A 21402-nucleotide genomic window follows, 5' to 3' on the forward strand; every position below is an offset into this window, starting at 1 on the left:
CAGGTGGTTTTCACTTTGTAGAAGGCTTTGGGTTCTCTGACAGGAATATTTGAACATTGCCTGGATGCCAGGGCAAGTAACCTCATTCAATCAGGGGAGTCTTGATTTTTCTTTCATTTCATGGGGGGTCCACAGTTCTCCTCAACAGTGCTAATAGACATTCTTTACAGGCTTACAATCACCACAGACAACCTTTGAGACACTGTCCCAACATCATCTGCACCTATGAAAGGCCAGTGCGATGTGTGAGAACACTGCTCCACACTGGATTTGTCTTTGTCGTGGTTCCTACCTTTCCCAGAGAGACCTTGTGAGGCCCAAAATGAAGGGAGGCAGTGAGGCCAAGGCCCTGGTAGTCTGTCACTGACATCTGCCTCTGGGGTCTCAGGTATGATTCCATCATGCAAAGACCTCTCAACAATTCCCCAGACTATATTTCAATACCCATGGGACACGATTCCTGCACACAGCCTTTTTTAAGAATGGAGTCAGAAGGGCACTTTCCAGCGACTACCTCACAGTATCAAAATGTCTCCTCCTCCAGAGGGAACGACCCAGAGATGGCCCAAAGATGCCCTAAGCTCAAAAGTTTAGAGTCCCACAGTGAATTATCACAGGCAGCATTATTTCTGACACCAGATCAGCTCTGTCTGTACCATTTTCCTCTGTTTAGGCAGGCTGACATCTCCTAGAGCCAGGCACAACAACCTGCCTCATGAAGGGATATGTGCTAGTATCAGGGCACCAGGCATGAGATGTGCACTATGGCTAGCGTCACAGTCAATGCCACCATTGACTACTGACAAGTCCCTATGGCTTGGCGGAAAAGGAGAATTTCGTGGGGGCGGGGGGTGGGTATTGGTGTTGGAATTTCGCCTGCCATCTCTGTGGGATTCACAGTATAGTCCCATGATCCCAGGAGAGGGCAGAGGTGAACCAAACTGAAAAAAAAACATCAATCAGAGCCAGGAATAAGCCCTGAAATCCCTAAGGATCCAAAAATATCTGCAGAATGCCTTAGGCCTGCCTAGACGTTGTAGGGGTGAGTCTTTTGGAAACTTGCCCTACTCTGATTTCTATGTAGAGCCTGTTTTCCCCATGGCTGCCCTCTCCCAGGTGGAGCTTCCTGCAGAACCACACAACCCAGAAGCTGCAGGGCTGAGTGTTGCTATGGGAGCATTGGGAGTGCTGGATGTCTGCTTGTGTGTGTGTGGCTTTCGGTGTTTTTTTGTTTGTGTGTGTGTGCCTGTACATGGAGTCTGCTTAAAAAAAATCTGGCTAACGCACTGTGGCACTTCATTTTTCAAGTCTCCTAACATTTTGGTGGCCTGTTGGTGTCACTGTTTTGGCTGCAGGGCTCAATGTTCTCTATTTTTCTGTAGATAATGAATCTATTGTGAATTGGGATGCTGGCAGAGGTCCAAATCACCTTTCCCTGTAAAAACAGTCTCTCTTCTACAAAGAAGAGGAGCACACCACATTCAAGAACAGACATCTTCCAGTGTGTTTTAATCCTGCAGCCAACCCAGTGATAGACAGTAGCACTGTTCACAGGGCCCCTTGAATTTACCTCAAATTTGATTCCCACCTGAGTAGGTGCTTCACCTTGTACGGAGGCACTAATCCATTGTCTTGGGGTTTCACTTTGGGTCAGAGAGTGTGAGCAGCAGTGAGGTCAGATAGGGGTGAGGATACAATCTGGTGAGGGGTGGATGGGGTCCTACACCTTCACCTGAAAAAAGGTGAAGACAAATGACAAAGAAGTTATTTCCAACTATATCCTTGTCCTTGTATTCCCTTAATATCACAAGCTGTCCACACTATGGCCCCATTTTCATGTGGGAGTACTCTAACACACAGGGAACATTTGGAGTGCAAACTGGGGCCATCCTGGCAAACTCTCAATTTGAGGGCTTTCAAACGCAGAGCCAAATGTGAGTGGGATGGATTGATACTGGGTGGGATGCAGCTTCCACAATTGCCTCATCTTTTCCTGACTTCTTTGTTCGTCATTGGCGTAGTTTCCTTGGTCTGGCTCAACGTCTTCTAAACTCAACATTCCCCAGTTCATGGAAAATGATCCTCATGGGATTCTATTGTGTGAGTATTTCCCCCTAAACACTGCCATGTTTTAATGACTGGGCAGCTGTGATACTTTTAAAACTGTAAATTCATGCAACAGCCACAAACAAGGAAACTCTTGTTCTCTCACTTCTATAGAAAAGCTGCATGATTCCTGGAGAATGTTTTATTGTCCTGAAGTCAACCCAAAAATCAACACTACCAGTCATGTTGCAGAGCTCCTTGAATTAACCTTGAATTCAGTTTCCAGCTGAGCAGCTGCTTCACGTTGTGAGGGGGCAATCCTCCATCATCCTGGGATTTCATTCTGGGACACAGAGTTTGAGCAGCAATAAGGTAAGATGCGGGTGAGGATGCAATCTGGTGAAGGGTGGATGGGGTCCCACACCTTCACCTGCAGAAATGGTAAAAACAGATGACACAGAAGGTGCTTCCAACTGCATTTAAGCATTCCCTTAATTGCAAAAGGATTCCACACCATGGCCCTGTGTTCTGGTGTGACTACTCCAAGTGGCAGGAAACAATGTTAGTGCAAACTTTGGCAATGCTGGCACATTCCCTATTGGAGGGCTTTTGTACAGGGAGCCAAGGGGGAGTGGGATGGAATGATGCTGTGTGGGATATGGTCTCCACACTTGCCTCTTCTTTTCCTCACTTTCGTGTTCTTCATTGGCCCAGAATTTCCTGGGTCTGGCTAAATGTCTTTCACAATAAACGTTTCCTGGTTCACAGAGGATGACCCTCATGGGAATGTATTTCATCAGTGCTTCCTTCTAAACACTGTCACATTTTAATGGCAGAGCTGTTGTGATACTTTTAAAACCATAAATTCCCATTACAGCCACCAACAAATAAATTCTTTTTCTTTTTTTCCTTAGACAGAGTCTCATTCTGTTGCCCAGGCTGCAGTGCAGTGGCATGATCTCCAGTCACTGCAAGCTCTGCCTTCTGGGTTCACACCATTCTCCTGCCTCAGCCTCCCGAGTATCTGGGACTACAGGAGCCTTCCACCATTCCTGGCTAATTTTTTATATTTTTAGTAGAGATGGGGTTTCACCATTTTAGCCAGGATGGTCTCAATCTCCTGACCTCATGATCCTCCCACCTCAGCCTCCTAAAGTTCTAGGATTACAGGCATGAGCCACCATGTCTGGCCCTTGGGAAACAGTTCTTCTCCCATTTCTATCAAAAGGCTGCATAATTCCAGTAGGATGAGAAGCAGACAGACGTATCTAGCTTTTTTTCTGGTAATCTATGTTCTGTTTTATTTCATCTGCAAGTCTTGTCTCATTGTGGAGGGCATATAGCATTGAATGTTGCTAGATGGGAATGTCTCTAAATACAGATTTTGCTGCCACTGATTTCAGAAAGCAAAAATGACTTTGCATAGGCTGGCTGCCTTCCAGCTTGTGGTTCGTGGTCTCATTGTGAGAGCTGAGGTTGTTTGCAGTTCTCAGGAGGCTTTTGGTTCCTCTGACAGGAACCTTTGAAAGTTTCTTATACTCCAGCTCAAGCCAGCTCCTTCTCTCAAGCAAGCCTTGATTTTTCTTTCCTTTCAGGCTGGGTCCACATTGCCCCTCAACAGCATTAGTGGACATGATTGTCAGACTTGCAATTTCCGCAGACACCTTCTGTGAACATTTTTCAACATCATCTACATGAGTGAGAGACCCGTTCGACATGTAAGAATACTGCTTGACTTTGGACCTGCCTTTGTCGTGGTTCCTGCCTTTCTCATAGATCCCCTGCCAGGCCCAGGATGATAGGAGGCAATGAAGTCAAGGGCCGAGCCCCATTCATTGAAAGCTGACTCTGGGGTCTCGGGTATAATTCCATCACATAAAATCCCCTCAACAACTCACCAGACTATATTCCAATCTCCATGGAACCTGATTCTTGCACACAGCCTCTTTCAGGAATGGAGTCAGAAGAGCAGTCTTCAGAGACCACCTCAGTTTGGAAAAGCCTCCTCCTTCAGTGGTTCCCAGCCATGGAGTCATCGTGAAGGGGCTCCATGGTCAATAATTTTACGGTACTGCACTTGGTTATCACAGACAGACTTTTTCATGATAGCATGCCATCTCTGTCTATATCATTTTCCTCTGCTTAGGCAGGCTGACAACTCTGACAGCCAGGGGCCCGAATCTACCTGGCAAATGTGCATGCTCTACTCTCAGTGCAAAAGGCCTGTTTGGGAGTTCTGACTAGTGTCACAATAAATGCCGCCATTGCCTAGTGACAAGTCCCTGTGGATTGAGGGAGGAAACCTCCATGTAGGGGCATTGGTAGTGGACTCTCACCTGTCTTCTAAGTAAAATGCATGGGACAGTCCCATGATGCTAGGAGAGGGCAGACAGAAGCCAGCCTCAAGAAACCTCAAGGGCAGCCTCAGGAATAAACTGAAGCATTCCTAATGATTTAAAATATGTGTAGAATTTCTAATGCCTGCCTAGATGTTGCAGGGGTGAGTCATTGTGAAACTTGCCCCACTGTGATTTCTAGGTAAAGCCCACCTGTGTTCCTGGGGTGGCTGTCTCCCAGGTGGGGCTTCCTGCAGGACCACAAAGCCTGAGAAGCTGCCAGACTTTGTGTTTCTGTGAGAGTGTTGTGAGTGTTGGATGTTTGCGTGTATGTATGGCTGTGTCTATGTGTGTGTGTGTGTGTGTGTGTGGTGTCTGTAAGGGGAGTCTGCTTAAAGTAATGTTGCTAAAGCACTGCAGCCCCCTTTTTTTTAAGTCTTCCAACTTTTTAGTGGATTGTCTCAGGCTGCGGGGCTTTGTATTCTTTCTTTTTCTATGGATTATGAATCTGCAATGAAGTCTAAGGCAGGATGAGACCCGCCAGGTAACAAAACACCTCCTTCTCCCAAAAACAACCACTTTCCTAGAAAGAAGAAGGCCATACCACCCTCAAGAACAGACATCTCCCAGTGTTTTATTGTCCTTCAGCCAACCCAGGGAGAGACAGCAGCAGTCCTGTCTGCAGGGCTTTTTAAATGTACCTCGAATTTAGTTCCCAGCCAAGCTGGTGCTTCACATCGTGAAGGAGAACCCCTCCATCATCTTGGAATTTCATTCTGGAACAGAGAATATCAGTAGCAATAAGGTCACAGAGAGATGAAGATACAATGTGGTGAGGGGTGGATGAGGACCTGCACCTTAACATGCAAAAAAGGTGAAGACAGAAGACAGAAAGTGCTTCACACTGCATCCCTGCATTCCCTTAATGACACAGTAGTCCACACCATGGCCCGGTGTTCAGGTGGGAGTACTACAAGGTGCAGGGAACATTTGGAGTGCAAACTGAAGCCATCCTGCAAACTGCCAATTTAAGGGCTTTCATACTAAAGCCAAATGGGAGTACCATGAATTTATCCTGGCTGGGATGTGGCGTCTACACTTGCCTCTTTTTTTCCTGACTTCCATGCTCCTCATCAGCCTAGGGTTTCCTGGGTCTGGCTCAACGTCTTCGACACTAAACATTTCCCCATACAGTGATTATGACCCTTATGAGAATCCATTGTGTGCGTATTTCATATTAACAATGTCACATTTTAATTACTTGGCAGCTGTGATACTTTTAAAACCATGATTTCCTGTTACAGCTGCCATTAAGGAAACTCTTGTTCTACCACTTCTATCAGGGGCTGCAAGATCTCTGGGGTGAGAAGCAGGCAGTCATATCTCACTTTTGGCTGGCATTCTAGGCACTGTTCCATTTCATCTGCATGTCGTTTCTCATTGTGGAAGGGATCTTTCACTGGACTGTTGCTGGATGGTACTACCTCTCATCACAGATCTTTTGGCTGCCAGGGATTTCAGGGAGCAAAAGACACTTTGGGTAGGCTCACCAAAATCCAGGTTGTGAGCCATGGTGTCAACGTGGGGGCTGAGGTTGTTTGCACTTTACAGGAGGCTTTTCGGTCCTCTGACAGGAATCTTTGAACATTGCTTGGACTGCAGCACAAGGCAGATTGTTCTTTCAGGTGAGCATTGATTTTTCTTTGCTTTCATAAGGTATGCATAGTGCCCATCAACAGCAGTACTTGACACTTTTCAGGTTTGCCATGGCCACAGACAGCCTTGGAGACACTGTCTCAACCTCATCTGCACCTGTGAGAAGACAGTCCACGATGTGAGAACACTGCTCCTTCTTGGACTTGCCTTTTTGAGGTTGCTGCCTTTCCCAGAGAGCTCCTGCGAGGTCCAAAATAAAGGGAGGCAGTGAGGCCAAGAGACCGGCCATCTTTCTCTGACACCCACCTTTGGGGTCTCAGGTATGATTGTATCACCCAAAGAATCCTCAACAACTCACCAGACTATACTCCAATCCCCATGAAACCCGATACTTGCACATAGACTTTTTCAGAAATGGAGTCTGAAGAGCAGTTTCCAGAGACCATGTCACCATCTTGAAATGCCTTCTTCTCCAGCGGGAACCAATCATGGAGATGAACTGAAGGGGCCCTGACTTTGCAAATTTTACAGTCCAGCCGTTGGTTTTCGCAGGCAGACTTTGTCCTGATACCAGGCCATCTCTGCTTGTACTATTTTCCTCTGCTTAGGCAAGCTGACAGCTCCAACAGTCAGGCGCCTGAGCCACCCTCATGAATGCACATGTGCTAGTCTCAAGGTATCAGGGCTGATTGTGAGCTTCGGCAAAAGTTACAAAAAAGGTCACCATTGCCTAGTGACAAGTCCCTGCCTCTTGCTGGAGACGGAGACCTCTGTGGAGGTGTGTCAGTGGTACACTCTCACCTATCTTCTCTGTGAAATCCACAAATAGTCTCATGATCATGGCAGAAGGCCTGGAGCTTGGTAGAAAAGGAGAATTCCCTGGAGGTGCACCGGCATTGGAACCACACCTGTCTTCTCTGTGGGATTCACAGGATAGTCCTAGAAAAGGGCAGATGAGAGCCAGACTGAGGAAAGGTCAAGAAGAGCCCCAGGAATAAATGGCAAACTGCCTAGGGATCCAAAAGGATTTGGAAGGATTCCTCAGGCCTGCCTAGAGGTTGTAGGGGTGAGTCTTTTAGAAACCTGTCCCAATGTGATTTCTAGGTACAACATGCATGTGTTACCCGGGGTTGCTCTCTCCCAGGTGGGGATTTCTGATGAGCCACACAGCCTCAGTAGCTGCCAGGCAGTGAGTTTCCGTGGGAATGTTGCAAGTGTTGGTTGTCTTTGTGGGTAGGTGTGGCATTGTGTATTTGTGTGTGTGTTTGCGTGCCTGTAAGTGGAGTCTGCTTAAAGGAATGTGGCTAATGCACTGCAGCATTTCTTTTATTTTTGAGTCTCTTATCCTTATAGTGGCCTGTCTGTGTGGCTCGGCTTGGGTTGCCGGGATTCATGTTCTTTATTTGTCTGTGGATCATGAATCTGCAGTGAATTGGGAGGTGGGCCGAGACACACAAGCATCCAAATCACCTCCCCTGCAACAAAAGCCACTCTTCTAGAAAGAAGATGAGCATACCACACCAAAAAAAAGAGATCTCCCAGTGTTTTATTGACCTGAGTCCAAACCAGAAAGTGACACTCACAGACCTGTGTGCATGGCCCCTTGAATTTACATCAAATTCAGTCTCCAGCTGAGCAGATGCTTCATGTCATGAGGAAGATCTTGTCCATCATCTTGGATTTCATTCGGGGACATAGATTGTGAGCAGAAATAAGGTCAGATGGGGTGAGGATACAATCTGGTGAGGGGTGAAAGTGGTCTCCCAACTTCACCAGCAAAACATAAAGACAGATAACACAGAAAGTGCTTCCAACTTCATCTCTGCATCCCCTTAATTGCACAAGCAGTCCACACCATGGCTCGGTGTTCTGGTGGGAGTACTTTAATCTGCAAGGAATATTTGGAGGGCAAATTGGGGCCATTTTTGCAAACTCCCAATTTAAGAGCCTTCATACATGAGCCAAATGGGAGGAGTATTGATTGATGCTGGGTTGGATGTGGCCTCCGTACTTGCCTTTTTCCCCCTGACTTCTATGTTTTTCATCAACCTAGGGTTTCCTCTTTCTGGCTCAATGACTTCCACACTAAATGTTTCCCAATTCATAGAGAACAACCCTCCTGGGAATCCATTGCATGAGTGTTTCCTTCTAAACATTGTCACCTTTTAAAGACTGGGAAGCTTTGATAGTTTTAAAACGGTAAATTCTTGTTACACCCACCAACAAGGAATCTGTTTTTTTTCCCACTTCTATCACAGGGTTGCATGTTTACTCTAGGATGAGAAGGAGGCAGCCACGTCTGGCTTTAGCCTGATAATCTAGCCCCTGTTTCATCTCATCTGCATGGACTTCTCATTGTGGAGGGGCCCTTTCACTGGGCTATTGCTGGCTAGGACTGCCACTTGCCACAGATTATTTTGCTGCCAGGGATTTCAGAGAGTAAAAGGGACTTTGATAAACTGGCTGCACTCCATATTGTGGATCATTGTCTCATCGTAGAGGCTGCAGTTGTTTGCACTTTGCAGGAGGCTTTTGGTTTCTGACAGGAATCTTGAACATTGCCTGGACTCCAGCAAAGGCAGCTCATTCTTAGGTGAACCTTGGTTTTTCTTTGTTTTCTTGGGGAATCCATAGTGCCCCCCAACAGCAGCACTGCACACCATTTTCAAGCTTGCCATCACCACAGATGGCCTCTGAGACACTGTCTCAACTACATCTGCACAAGTGAGAGGCCATTCCAAGATGTGAGAACACTGCTCCACATTAGACTTGCCTTTGTCATGGTTCTTGCCTTTCATAGATAGCCCCTGCAAGGCTCAGAATGAAGGGAGCCATTGAGTTCAAAAGCCCAATCATCTTTTGCTGACATCCACTTCTGGTGTCTCAGGTATGTTTCTGTCACCCAAAGAACACTCAACGACACACCAGATTATATTCCAATCCCCTTGGGACCCAATTATTGCACACACCCTCTTTCGCTAATGGAGTTAGAAGAGCAGTTTCCAGCGACCACCTCACAGTCGCGAAACACCTCTTCCTCCAGCGCGACCTGAACAAGGAAATGGCTAGCAGGGTCCCTGAGGTCAAGACTTTCAGGGTCCTGCAGCGGGTTTTTATAGTCAGCCTTTTTCCCAATACCAAGCCAGCTCTGCCTGTACCATTATCCACTGCAGAGGCAGGCTGACAGCTCTGACAACCTGACTTGAGTCTGCCTCACAAATGCACTTGCGCTAGTCTCAGCGCACCTGGTCTGATTGTGAGCTCTGTCTAGCATCACAATAAATGTCACCATTGCCTTGCAAGAAGCATCTGCATCTTGGTGGAAAAGGAGACCTCCGTGGAGAAGTGTCAGCGGTGTCTTCTCGTCTGTCTTCTCTGTGAAATCCACAGATAGTCTCATGATCCTAGGAGAGGGCAGACGTTAGCCAGCGTGAAGGAACATCAAGCTTAGCTACAGAAATAAACCGCAAAATCCTTAAACATCCAAAAAGATCTGCAAGATTTTGTAGGCCTGCCTAGATATTGTAGGGGTGAGTCTTTTTGAAACTTGCCCCACTGTGGTTTCTAGGTACAGCCTGTCTATGTTCCCTGGGATTGCTCTCTCCCAGGTGGGAATTCCTGCAGAGCTATGCAGCCTCGGGTGCTGCTGGGCTATGTTCTTCTGTGGGAGTGTTGCAACTGTTGGATATGTGTGTGTGTGTGTCATTGCGTGTTTGAGAATGTGTTTGTGGCTGTAAGTGGAGTCTGCTTAAATAATATGGCTAACGCACTTCAGTGCTGCTGCTTTTTTTTTTTTTTTTGTATGTTTCAATCTTTGTTGGCCTGCCTGTTGCTCTGCTTGTGCTTTGGGGCTCCATGTTCTTTATTTTTCTGTGGATCATGAATCTGCATTGCATTGGGAGGTGGGCCAAGACACACAATTGTCCAAATCAACTCCCCCCACAAAAAAAGCCACTCTTCTAGAAAGAAGAGGAGCACACCACACCAGAAACAGACATCTCGCAGTGTTTCACTGTCTCAACCTTATCTGCACAGTCCAAGGCCAGTCTGAGGTGTAAGAATAACCTCAACTGCACAGTGAAAGACCAGTCCAAGGTATGAGAACACTCCTCTACATTGGATTTGCCACTGTTGTGGTTTCTACCTTCCCCAGAGAGCTTCTGAGAGACCCAGGATGAAGGGATGCAGTGAGGTCAAGAGCCCAACCTTCTTTCACTGACACCCACCTCTAAGTTCTCAGGTATGATTCTGTCACCCAAACAACCCTCAACAACACAACAGATTATATTCCAATTCTTATGGGACCAGATTATGGCTCACAGCCTGTTTCAAAAATGGAGTCAGAAGGGCAGTTTCCAGCGAACAGGTTACTATCTCAAAATATTTCCTCCGGCAGTGGGACCTGACCATGGAGACAGCCCAAAGGGGCCTTCAGGTCGAGACATTTAGGGTCCCACAGTGGGTTTTCACACACTGCCTTTTTATTAAAAACAGGCCTACTCTGCCTGTACCATTTTTCTCTGCTTAGGATGCCACCTTGCTTACACACAGGCAAAAACCTCTGCAGGATTTTTCAGGCCACCCTAGATGTTGTAAGCATGAGTCTTTTGAAACTTGCCTAACTGTGATTTCTAGGTGTAGCCAACCAGGGTTTCTTGTGCTTGCTCTCTCCCAGGTTGGGATTCCTGCAGAATCACATAGCCTCTGGAGCTGCTGAGCTGTGTTTTCCTGTGGGAGTGTTGCGAGTGTTGGATGTCTGCATCTGTGTGTGGCATTGGGTGTGTGTGTGCACCTGTCAGTGGAGTGTGCTTGAAATTATGTGGCTAACCCACTTCAGCCCTTTGTCTTTCTCTTTTTTTTTTTTTTTTTTTAGTCTCCCAACCTTTCTGGTGGAGGATTTCGAGTGTTGGATGTCTGCATCTTTGTGTGGCATTGTGTGTGTGTGTGTGACTATAAATGGAGTCTGCTTAAAGGAATATTACTTATGCACTTCAGTGCTTTCTGTTTTTGAGTCTTCCAACATTTTGGTGGCCTGTGTTTCTCTGCTTGGGATGTGGGACTTTCTCCAGGTAGTGCTTCCTGCACAACAATGCAGCCTCAGTAGCTGCTGGGCTGTGTATTTCTGTGGGAGTATTTTGAGTGTAGGATGTCTGAGCGTGTGTGTGGCATTGTGTGTTCAAAAAAAGCCACTCTTCTAAAAAGAAGAGGAGCACACCATGCCAAAAAGAGGTATCTCCTAGTGTGTCATTGTCATGAGGCCAACCCAGGCATAGACACTGGCAGTCCTGTCCACTGGGCACTTTGAATTAATCTTGAATTCAGTTCCCAGCTGAGCAAGTGATTCACATCTTGTGGCGGGGGGCACTTCTCCATCATCTTTTGATTTCATCCTGGAACATACAGTATGAGCAGGAATAAAGTCAAATAGCAGTAAGGACAAAATCTGGTGAAGGGTGTATAAGGTTTTGCAATATCACCTGAAAAAAATAAAATAAAGATGGATGACACAGAAGCTGCTTCCAAGTAAATAGCCTGGTGTTCAGGTGGACATGCAGAGAACATTTTGAGAACAAATTGGGGCCATCCTGGCAAACTCTCAATGTGAGGGCTTTCATACCCAGAGCCACATGAAAGTGTGATGGATTGATGCTGGGTGGGATGTGGCCACCACACTTGTGTCTTCATGTTCCTTTTTGGCCTAGGGTTTTCTGGGTCTGGTTCCACATCTTCTACACTAGAAGTTTCCCAGTTCACAGAGGACCACTCTCATGTGAATCCATTGCATCAGTGTTTCTTCCTAGACTCTGTCACATTTTGATGACTGGGCAATATGAGACTTTTAAAAGCATAAATTCCCGTTACAACTGCCAATACAGAAATTTTTATTCTCCTTTTATCAAAGAGCTGCATGATTCCTGTAGGAGGAGAAGCAGGCAGCTGTGTTCTGCATTTTCCTGCTAATCTTGGCTCTGTTTCACTTCATCTGCATGTCATTCCCTGCTGTGGAGTGGATCTTTCATTGGCTCTTGCTGGATGGGACTGCCTCTTGCTATAGATCTTTTCACTGCCAGGAATTTCAGGAAGCCAAAAGGACTTTGCATATGGTGGCTACATGCCAGGATGTGGATCATGGTGTCCTTGTGGGGGCTGATGTTGTTTGCGCTTTGCAGGAGGCTTTTGGGTCCTCTGATGGGAATCTTTGAACTTTGCTTGTACTCCCACACAAGTCAGCTTGTTTGCTCAGATAAGCCTTCATTTTTCTTTGCTTTCAAGGGGAGTCCACATTGCCCCTCATTAGCAGTACTGGACACCATTTTCTGTCTTGCAATTGCCATGGACCACCTCAGACATACTCTGTCAACCACATCTGCATCTGTGAAAGGCCAGTTTGAGATATGAGAACAATGCTTTATCTGGGACTTGCTTTTGTTGTGGTTCCTGTATTTCCCAGAGAGCTCCTGTGAGGCCCAGGATGAAGGGAGGCAGTGAGGTCAAGGGCCTAACCATCTTTCACTGACACCCACCTCTTGGGTCTCAATGATGATTCCATCACCCAGAGATGCCTCAAAAACTCACCAGATGGTATTTCAATCCCCATGGGAATTAACTCTTGCACACATCTTCTTTTGGGAATGGAGGCAGAGGTGCAGATTGCAGCGACCCTTTCACAGTCTCAAAGTGACTTCTCCTTCTGCAGAACCCAACCTTGGAGACTGCCTGAAAGGGCCCTGTCATCTATATTTTTATGTCCAGTGGTGGGTTATTGCAGGCAGCATTTTTCCCTATACCAGGCAGGCTCTGCCTGTACCATTTTCCTCTGCTTAGGCAGGCTGACAGCTCTGATGAGTGCCTGAGCCTGCCTCAGAAATGCACATGTGCTAGTCTCAGAGCACCAGGCCTGAGTGTGAGTGCTGGCTAGCATCACAATGAATGTCACTGCTGCCTTGTGACAATGCCCTGTGGCTTGGCAGAGGAGACCTCCTTGGAGATGCATCGGCCGTGGACTCTCACCTGACTTCTCTGTGGTGTTCATGGGATTGTCCCATGATCCTAGAAAAGGGCAGGCATGAGCCAGCCTGAAGAAAAGTCAAGTACACCTCCAGGAATAAACTGCAGAATCCCTTAGGATGCAAAAGGATATACAGGATTTCTCAGGACTACCCAGAAGTTTGTAGGGTTGAGTCTCTTTCAAACTTGCACCACCGTGATTTCTAGGTACAGTTCCCTTGTGTTTCTTGGGGTTGCTGTCTCCCAGGTTGGGATTCTTTCCGAACAACACTGCCTCAGGGGCTGCCAGTCTTTGCTTTTCTATGAGAGTCTTGCATGTGATGGATGGCTGTGTGTGTGTGTGTAGCATTGTGTGTTTGTGTATGTGCGTGTTTATGTGTCTGTAAGTGGAGTGTGCTTAAAATAATGTGCCTAACACACTTCAGCACTTCTTCTTTAGTCTGCCAACCTTTCTGGTGGAGTGCTGTGAGTGTTGGATGTCTACATGCATGTGGGTGGCATTGTGTGTTTGTATGTGTGTGTGTGTGAGAGACTGTAAGTGCAGTCTGCCTAAGGAATATTGCTAATGCACTTCAGTGTTTGCTGTATGTACATCTCCCAACCTTTTGGTGGCTTTTCTGTGTGGGTCTGCTTGGGCTACCTGCAGACCCAGTTGGTGCTACCTGCACAACAGCACAGTCTGAGTAGTAACTGGTTTGTATGTTTCTGTGGGAGTGTTGTGAATGTTGGATGTCTGAGTGTGTGTGTGGCATTGTGTGTGTGAGAAAAGCCACTCTTCTAGAAAGAAAAGGAGCACACCACACCAAAAATGAGACATCTCAGTGTTTCATTGTCTTGCAGCCAACCCAGGGAGAGATGCTAGCAGTCCTGTGCACAGGGCACATTGAATTCACCTTGAATTCGATTCCCAGCCAAGCCAATAATTCATGTCTTAGGTCGGGGGGCTCTCAAATATCATCTTTGGATTTCATCCTGGTGCATAGAGTGTCAACAGCAATGATGTCAGATAGGAGTAAAGATGAAATCTGGGGAGGTGCATGGGATACCCCAACTGCACCTGTAAAAAAAAAAAAAAAAGAAAAAGGATGACAGACGACACAGAGATTGTTTCCAGCTAAACAGCCTGGTGTTCAGGTGGAAGTACTCCAATGTATGGGGAAAATTTTGAGTACACACTGGGGCCATCCTGGCAAACTCCCAATGTGAGGGCTTTCATACCCAAAGGCAAAGGAGAGGGTGATGGATTGATGCTGGATGGAATGTGGCTGCCACACTTGCCTCTTCTTTTCCTGACTTTCATGATCTTCTTTGGCCTAAGTTTTCCTGGGTATGGCTACACGTATTCCACACTAAAAGTTTCCCAGTTCACAGAGGATGACTCTCTTGGGAATTCATTACATGAGGGATTCTTTCTAAACTCTGCCACATTTTAATGACTGGGCAGCTGTGATACTTTTAAAAGCATAAATTCCCATTACATCCACCAACATAGAAACTCTTGTTTTCCCACTTTTATTGGAAGACTGCATGATTCCTTTAGGATGAGAAGCAGGCAGCCATGTCTGCATTTGCCTGGTAATCTTAGCTCTGTTTCACTTCATCTGCAAGTCCTTTCTCTCTGTGGAGTGGATATTTCATTGGCTTTTGCTGGATGGGACTGCCTCCTCCCTACAGATCTTTTGGCTGCCAGGAACTTCAGGAAGCCTATAGGACTTTGTGTATGCTGGCTATACTCCAGATTTTGGGTCTTTTTCTCCTTGTGGAGGCTGATGTTGTTTGCTCTTTGTAGGAGGCTTTTGGGTCCTCTGACAAAAATCTTTGAACATTATTTGGACTCCTGCACAAGTCAGCTTATTTGCTCAGATGAGCCTTCATTTTTCTTTGCTTTCATGAGGGTTCCACATTGCCCCTCATCAGCACTACTGGACACCCTTTTCTGGCTTGCTTTCACCACAGACAGCCACTGAGAAACTGTTTCCACCTCACCTGCACCCATTTTAAGGTGTGAGAACAGCCAGTTTAAGGTGTGAGAACAATGCTTTATCTTGGACTTTCTTTTGTCGTGGTTCTTACCTTTTCCCGAGAGCCCCTGTGAGGCCCGGTAACTCACCAGACTGTATTACAATCCCCATAGGAACTGCCTCTTGCACACAGCCTCTTTCCAGAATGGAGGCAGAGTATCTGATTGCAGCGACCACTTCACAGTCTCAAAATGAGTTCTCCTTCAGTGGAACTCGACCTCAGAGACTGCCCAAAAGGGCCCTATGGCCTAGACTTTTTGGGTCCAGCAGTGGTTTATCACAGTGCCTTTTCTTTGTTCCTCTTTTTGGTCAGGCTAACAGCTCTGACAGCCAGGCCCCAGAACATGCCTCTTGAATGCGAAGGCACTGGTCTCAAGGCACAAAGACTGAGCTGTGAGTTTTGATTAGCGTCACAGTGAATGCCACCATTTCCTAGAGACAAGTTCCTGCAGGTTGGCGGAGAAGAAGACCTTTTTACAGGTGCTGTCGGTGGTGGACTCTCACCTGTTTTCTCTGTGGGAATTACTGTATAGTCTCCTGATTTTAGGAGAGGGCAAATATGAGCCAGCCTGAAATAATGTCAATAAGAGCACCAGGAATAAACCATGAATTCCAGAAGGATCCAAAAGGGTCTGCAAGATGCTTCAGGCCTGCCTAGGCACTGTATCCTCACCCCTGTGAGTGAGTGAGGGGTGAGTGCTTTTGACACTTGCCCCACTGTGATGTATAGGTACAGCCCTCCTGTGTTCCTTGGTGTTGCTCCCTCCTAGGTGTGGCTTCCTGCAGAACCAAACTGCCTCAGGAGCTGATAGGCTGTGTGTTTCTGTGGGAGTGCTGCAAGTGTTGGATGTCTGCCTGTGTGTTTGACTTTGTACATTTGTGTGTGTGTGTGTGTGTGTGCCTGTAAATGGAGTCTGCTTAAAGGAATGTGGCTAACACACTGCAGCACTTCATTTTGTTGAGTCTCCAACCTTTTGTTGTCTTCCTGTACGCCTCTGTTTGGGACATAGAACTCCATGTTCTTTATTTTTTTGTGAATCATGAATCTGCAGTGAGTTGGGAGGCTGGCCGAGACATGCTGCTGTCCAAGTCACCATGCCCTGCAAAAAAAGCAACTCTTCTAGGTAGAAGAGAGTCAAACCACACCCAAGAGCAGACATCTCCCAGGTTTTCATTGTCATGTGGCCAACCCAGGGAGAGACAATAGCAATCCTGTCTACAACAACCCTTGAATTTACCTCAGGTTATATTCACAGGTGAACACGTGCTTCACATCATGAGGGTTACTCCTCCTTTGTCCTGGGTTTTCATCCTTGGACAGATAGTTTGAGCAGCAGTAAGGTCAGACAGGGTGGGGATACAATCTTGTGAGGGGTGGATGGGGTCTCACAACTTCACCTGCAAATAAGGTGAAGACAAATGACACAGAAGATGCTTCCAACTGAATCCCTACATTCCACTATTTGCACAAGTAGTCCACACCATGGCCCATTGTTGAGGTGGGAGTACTCCAACATGCAGAGAACATTTGGAGTGCAAACTGGGGACATCCTGGCAAACTCCAGATTTGAGCGCTTTCATAGGCAAAGCCAAATGGGAGTGGGATGGACTAGTTCTGGGTGAAATATGGCCTCCACACTTGCCTGTTTTTTTCATGTCTTCCATGTTCCTCTATGGCCTATGGCATGCTGCATGTGGCTCAAAATCTTCAACACTAAACCTTTCCCACTTCATGGAGGTCGAACTAATTGGAATCCATTGCATGAGTGTTTCCTTCTAATCACTGTCACATTTTAATGAATGGGCAGCTGTATTTATTTTTAAAGCATCAATTCCCATTACAGCTGCCAACAAGGAAACTTTCGTTCTCCCACTTTTATTGGAAGGCTGCTTGACTCCCGTAGGATGAGAAGCAGGGAGCCGTGTTTGGATTCACCTAGTAACCAAGGCTGTGTTTCACTTCATCTGCACTTCCTTTCTCATTGTAAACAGACTCTTTCATTGAGCTTTTGCTGTATGGGACTGCCACTCACAATGGTTCTTTTGGCAAGCAGAATTTCAGGGAGCAAAAAGACTTTGGTCGGCTGGTGGTGTTCCAGGTTTTGTGTCATGGGCTTGTTGTAAAATCTGAGGTTGTTTGCACTTTGTGGGAGGCTTTTGGTTCCTCTGGCAGAAATCTTTGAACATTTCTGGAAATCCAGGACAAGTCCACTCATTCTCACAGGTGAGCCTTGATTTTTCTTTGCTTTCATGCTGGGCCCACATTGCCCCTCAGCAGAAATACTGGCCACCATTTTCAGGCTTGCAATTGCCAAAAACGGCCTCTGAGACAATTTCACAGTATCAACTGCACCCATGACACTCCAGTTCGGTGTAAGAACTTCTTGATATTGGACCTACCTTTTTCATGTTTCCTGCCTTTTGCAGAGAGCCCCTGTGAGGACCATGATGAAGGGAAGCAATGAGATCAAGGGACTGGCTATATTTTACTGACACTCATTTTTGGTGTCTCAGGTATAATTCCATTACACAAAAATCCTTTAACAACTCACCAGACTATATTCCAATTTAGATGGGTCCTGATTCTTGCACAAAGGCTCTTTCAGGAATGGAGTCAGAAGAGCTCTCCTAAGCAACCACCTCACAGTCTTGAAACGCGTCCTCCTCCAGTGGTACCCAAAGATGCAGACATCCCAAAGGGGTTCTAAGGTAGAGAATTTTAATGCTAGTCTCAGGACACTAGGGCTTAGATCTGAGCTCTGGTTAGAGTCACAATGAATGTCACATTTGCCCAGCGACAAGTCCCTGTGACTTGGCTGAGGAGGATACCTTTGTGGAGGTGCATCAGCAGTGGACTCTCACTTTTATTCCCTGTGGAAGCCTCGGGATAGTCCCACGATCCTAGGAGAGGGCAGACATGAACCAGCCTAAAGAAACATCAGGCATAGCCCCAGGAATAAACCACAAAATTGCTAAGGATCCAAAAGGAACTGCAGGATTTTTTAGGACTGGCTAGATGCTGTATTGGTTAGTCTTTCTGAAACTTGCCCCACCGTGCTTCCCAGGTAAAGCCTGCCAGTATGCCCTGGGGTTGCTCTCTGCCAGGGTAAGTTTCTTGCACAACCACGAAGCCTCAGGAGCTGCCAGCCTGTGTGTTTCTGTTGGAGTGTTGTGAGTGTTGGAGGCCTGCATGTGTGTGGCATTTTGTGTGTGTGTGTGTTTGTGTGTGTGTGTCTGTAAGTGGAGAGTGCTTAAATGAATGTGGCTAACACAATTCAGGGCTAGTTTTTTGAGTCTCCAACCCTTTTGGCTCTGCTTGAGCCACATCATAAGTCTCAGTGAATTGAGAGGCAGGCCATAACCCACCCATGTCCAAATAATCTCCCCCTACAAAGCACAAAGCCATTCTTCTAGAAACAAGAGGAGCACACCACACAAAAACATAGATATCTTTAGTGTTTCATTGTTATGTGGCCAACCCAGACAGAGACAGTAGCAGTCTTGTTTTCAGGGCCCCTTCAATTTACCTGAAATTCAGTCCCCAGCTTAGCAAGTGCTTCACGTCCTGAGGGGGCACTCCTCCATCATTTTGGGATTTTATTTTGGGACACAGAGTATAAGCAGCCATAACATCGGATAGGGGTGAGAATTCAATCAGGTGAAGGTTGTCACCTGAAGACAGGTGACTCAGAAGGTACTTCCAACACCATCCCCACATTCCCTTAGTTGAAGAAGCAGTCCACACCATGGCTCAGTGTTCAGGTGAGCGTACAAGCTGGGGCCATCCTGGCAAACTTCCGATTTGAGGGCTTTCATACCCGGAACAAAATGGAAGTGGAATAAATTCATGCTAGGTGGAATGTGGCCTCCACACTTGCCTCATCTTTTCCTGACTTCCATGTTCCTCACTGGCCTACAGTTTCCTGGGTCTGGTTCAATGACTTCCAACACAGAACATTTCCCAGTTCACAAAGAACAACCCTCACGGTGATCCACTGTGTGAGTGTTTCCTTCTAAACACCATCACGTTTTAATGACTGAGCTGCTTTGATACTTTTAAAACAGTAAATTCCTGTTACAGCCACCAAAAAGCAAACTCTTCCTCTCCCACTCCTATCAAAGGGCTGCATGACTTCTGCAGGGTGAGAAGCAGGCATTCATGTCTGGCTTTTGTCTGGTAGTCTATCTTCTGTTTCATTTCATCTGCCTGGTTTCCTTATTGTGGAGGGGCTCTTTCATTCAGCTGTTTTTCAGTAGGACTGCCTCTCTACACAGATAATTTAGTTACCAGGATTTCAGAGAGGAAAAGGGACTTCAGGTAGGCTGGCTGCACTCCAGGTTCTGGGTCATTGTCTCATTTGGGGGGCTGAAGTTCCTTCCACTTTACAGGAGGCATTTGGATCCTCTGACAGGAATCATTGAACATTGCTTGGACTCCAGCACAAGGCAGCTCATTCTAGAGAGATGAGGTTTTATTTTTCTTTGCTTTCATGGGGAATCTACAGTACCCCTAAACAGCAGTACTGACACAACTTTTTATCCTTGCCATGCCATAAATGGCCTTTGACACACTGTCTCAACCTCATCTGCACCCATGAGTGGTCAGTCCAAGGTGTGAGAACAGTGCTCCACCTTGGACTTGCCTTTGTCTTAGGTCCAGACTTTCCCAGAGAGCCCCTGTGAGGCCCAAAATGAAGGGAGGAAGTGAGGTCAAGGGCCCAACTATCTTTCACTGACCCCAGCTTCTGGGGTCTCAGGTATGATTCTATCATCCAAATAACCCTCAACAACACAGCAAACTATATTTGCATCCCCATCATACCCGATTCTTGCACATAGCCTCTTTTGAGACTGGAGTCAGATGAGCAGTTTCCAGCGATCAGCTCACATTCTTGAAACGCCTCCTTCTCCAGCATGACATGGCCATGGAGATGCCATGAAGGGGCCCTGAGGTCCCCACTTATGGTCCCACAGTGGGATTTCACAGGCAGCCTTTTTTCTCGCTACCAGGCTGCACTGCCTGTACCATTTTACTCTGCTTAAGCAGGCTGACAGCTCTGACAGACAGGAAACATAGGCTGCCACAGGAATGGGCATGCACTACTCTCAGGGCACCAGGCCTGATTGTGAGCTCTGGCTAGCATCACAATGAGTGTAACCATTGCCTAGCAACAAGTTCCTGTGGCTTGGTGGAGAAGAAGACCTCCGTGGAGTTGTGTCAAAGGTGGACTCTCACCTGTCTTCACTGTGGGATCCATGGTATTGTTCCATGATCCTAGGAGAGGGCAGATGTGAGCCAGCCTGAAGAAACCTCAAGTAAAGTTCCAGCAATAAACCATGAAATCCCTAATAATAAAAAATGATCTTCAGGATTCCTCATTCAACCTAGACATTGTAGGGGTGAGCCTTTTTGAAACTTACCCCACTGTGATTTCTAGGTAGAGCCAGGCTGTTTTCCCTGGGGTTGCTGTCTCCCAGGTGGGGGCTTCTTGCAGAACCAGTCAACCCCATTGCTGCATTCCTTTGTAGCAGGACAAGCCATGAACAAAACCCCTCAGACACTGGATTAAAGAAGAAAGTGGCTTTATTCAGCTGGGAGTGTTGGCAGACTCCTGTCTCAGGAACTGAGCTCCTGGAAGAAACAGTTCCTGTCCCTTTTAAGTGCTTACAACTTTAAGGGGTTACACGTGAAAGGGTTGTAATAGATTGAGATCTAGAGATAGCACGTGTGGTTAGAGTGGTGGGTTAAACTTTTAACCTCAGGCCTGTTCATTAGTGGCACCAGCTGGTCTTGTCAATGATTTCATTCCTGATGTTTTTCAGCTTTTACTTCCTCCTTCTATTCAGAGAACAGGGGACAGTAAGAGAAATAGCCTTCCTCCTCATCCCCCTCTTTGAGAGCTGCACTCACTAGTGAGAGTTCTCTTTCTCATCTTCATTACCCAGGTCTTTCTGCAAAACAGATTGATAGTGATTTATGTAATGCACTTGTGCTGTGGTCTTTTGATGAACTAAGGTGGTAAAAGTACAGGTACCATACAGGGAGTAAACACTGGCTTGGGAGAGTGCCTGTGGACCTTCCCTTAGACTAAAATATTTACTTGGGGATCCAGTCCATTTCCATTGATTCTTAGAATTACATACTCTCCTGTTTTCCGACAGGGATCAAGTAGTTATAATGGGTTTTCCCACATCAGGCTGGTTACTTCCTGGGCTGCATACCTTGTGCAGGGTGGCGTTATACAAAGTCATCCCTTTTAAAGTTGCAATACATTCATAATAACTATAAAACAAAAAGACTGCTTTAACTTTTTTCCCTACCTCAGTAACTTGAA

The 21402-nt window shown here is 46.5% G+C and overlaps 2 long non-coding RNA genes across 2 annotated transcripts in view; one reads left to right on the top strand and one right to left on the bottom strand.

Annotated features, from left to right (window-relative positions):
• Window positions 1-4321, top strand: part of TTTY2 (testis expressed transcript, Y-linked 2) — a 22191-nt gene extending 17870 nt beyond the window's left edge. Inside the window, exons 6-8 of the long non-coding RNA NR_001536.2 lie at window positions 2022-2100; window positions 2221-2418; window positions 3642-4321. This is a non-coding gene — a long non-coding RNA (testis expressed transcript, Y-linked 2). The remainder of the gene's footprint in view (window positions 1-2021; window positions 2101-2220; window positions 2419-3641) is intronic.
• TTTY1 (testis expressed transcript, Y-linked 1) overlaps window positions 1-20164 on the bottom strand; it is a 21164-nt gene extending 1000 nt beyond the window's left edge. The window contains exons 1-4 of the long non-coding RNA NR_001538.2: window positions 19890-20164; window positions 16306-16465; window positions 9334-9442; window positions 6840-6977 (exon numbers count right to left, since the gene is read on the bottom strand). This is a non-coding gene — a long non-coding RNA (testis expressed transcript, Y-linked 1). The remainder of the gene's footprint in view (window positions 1-6839; window positions 6978-9333; window positions 9443-16305; window positions 16466-19889) is intronic.
• Window positions 20165-21402: the final 1238 nt, after the last annotated feature.

This window comes from Homo sapiens, chromosome Y (genome assembly GCF_000001405.40).
Source record: "Homo sapiens chromosome Y, GRCh38.p14 Primary Assembly".
NCBI lineage: Eukaryota > Metazoa > Chordata > Mammalia > Primates > Hominidae > Homo > Homo sapiens.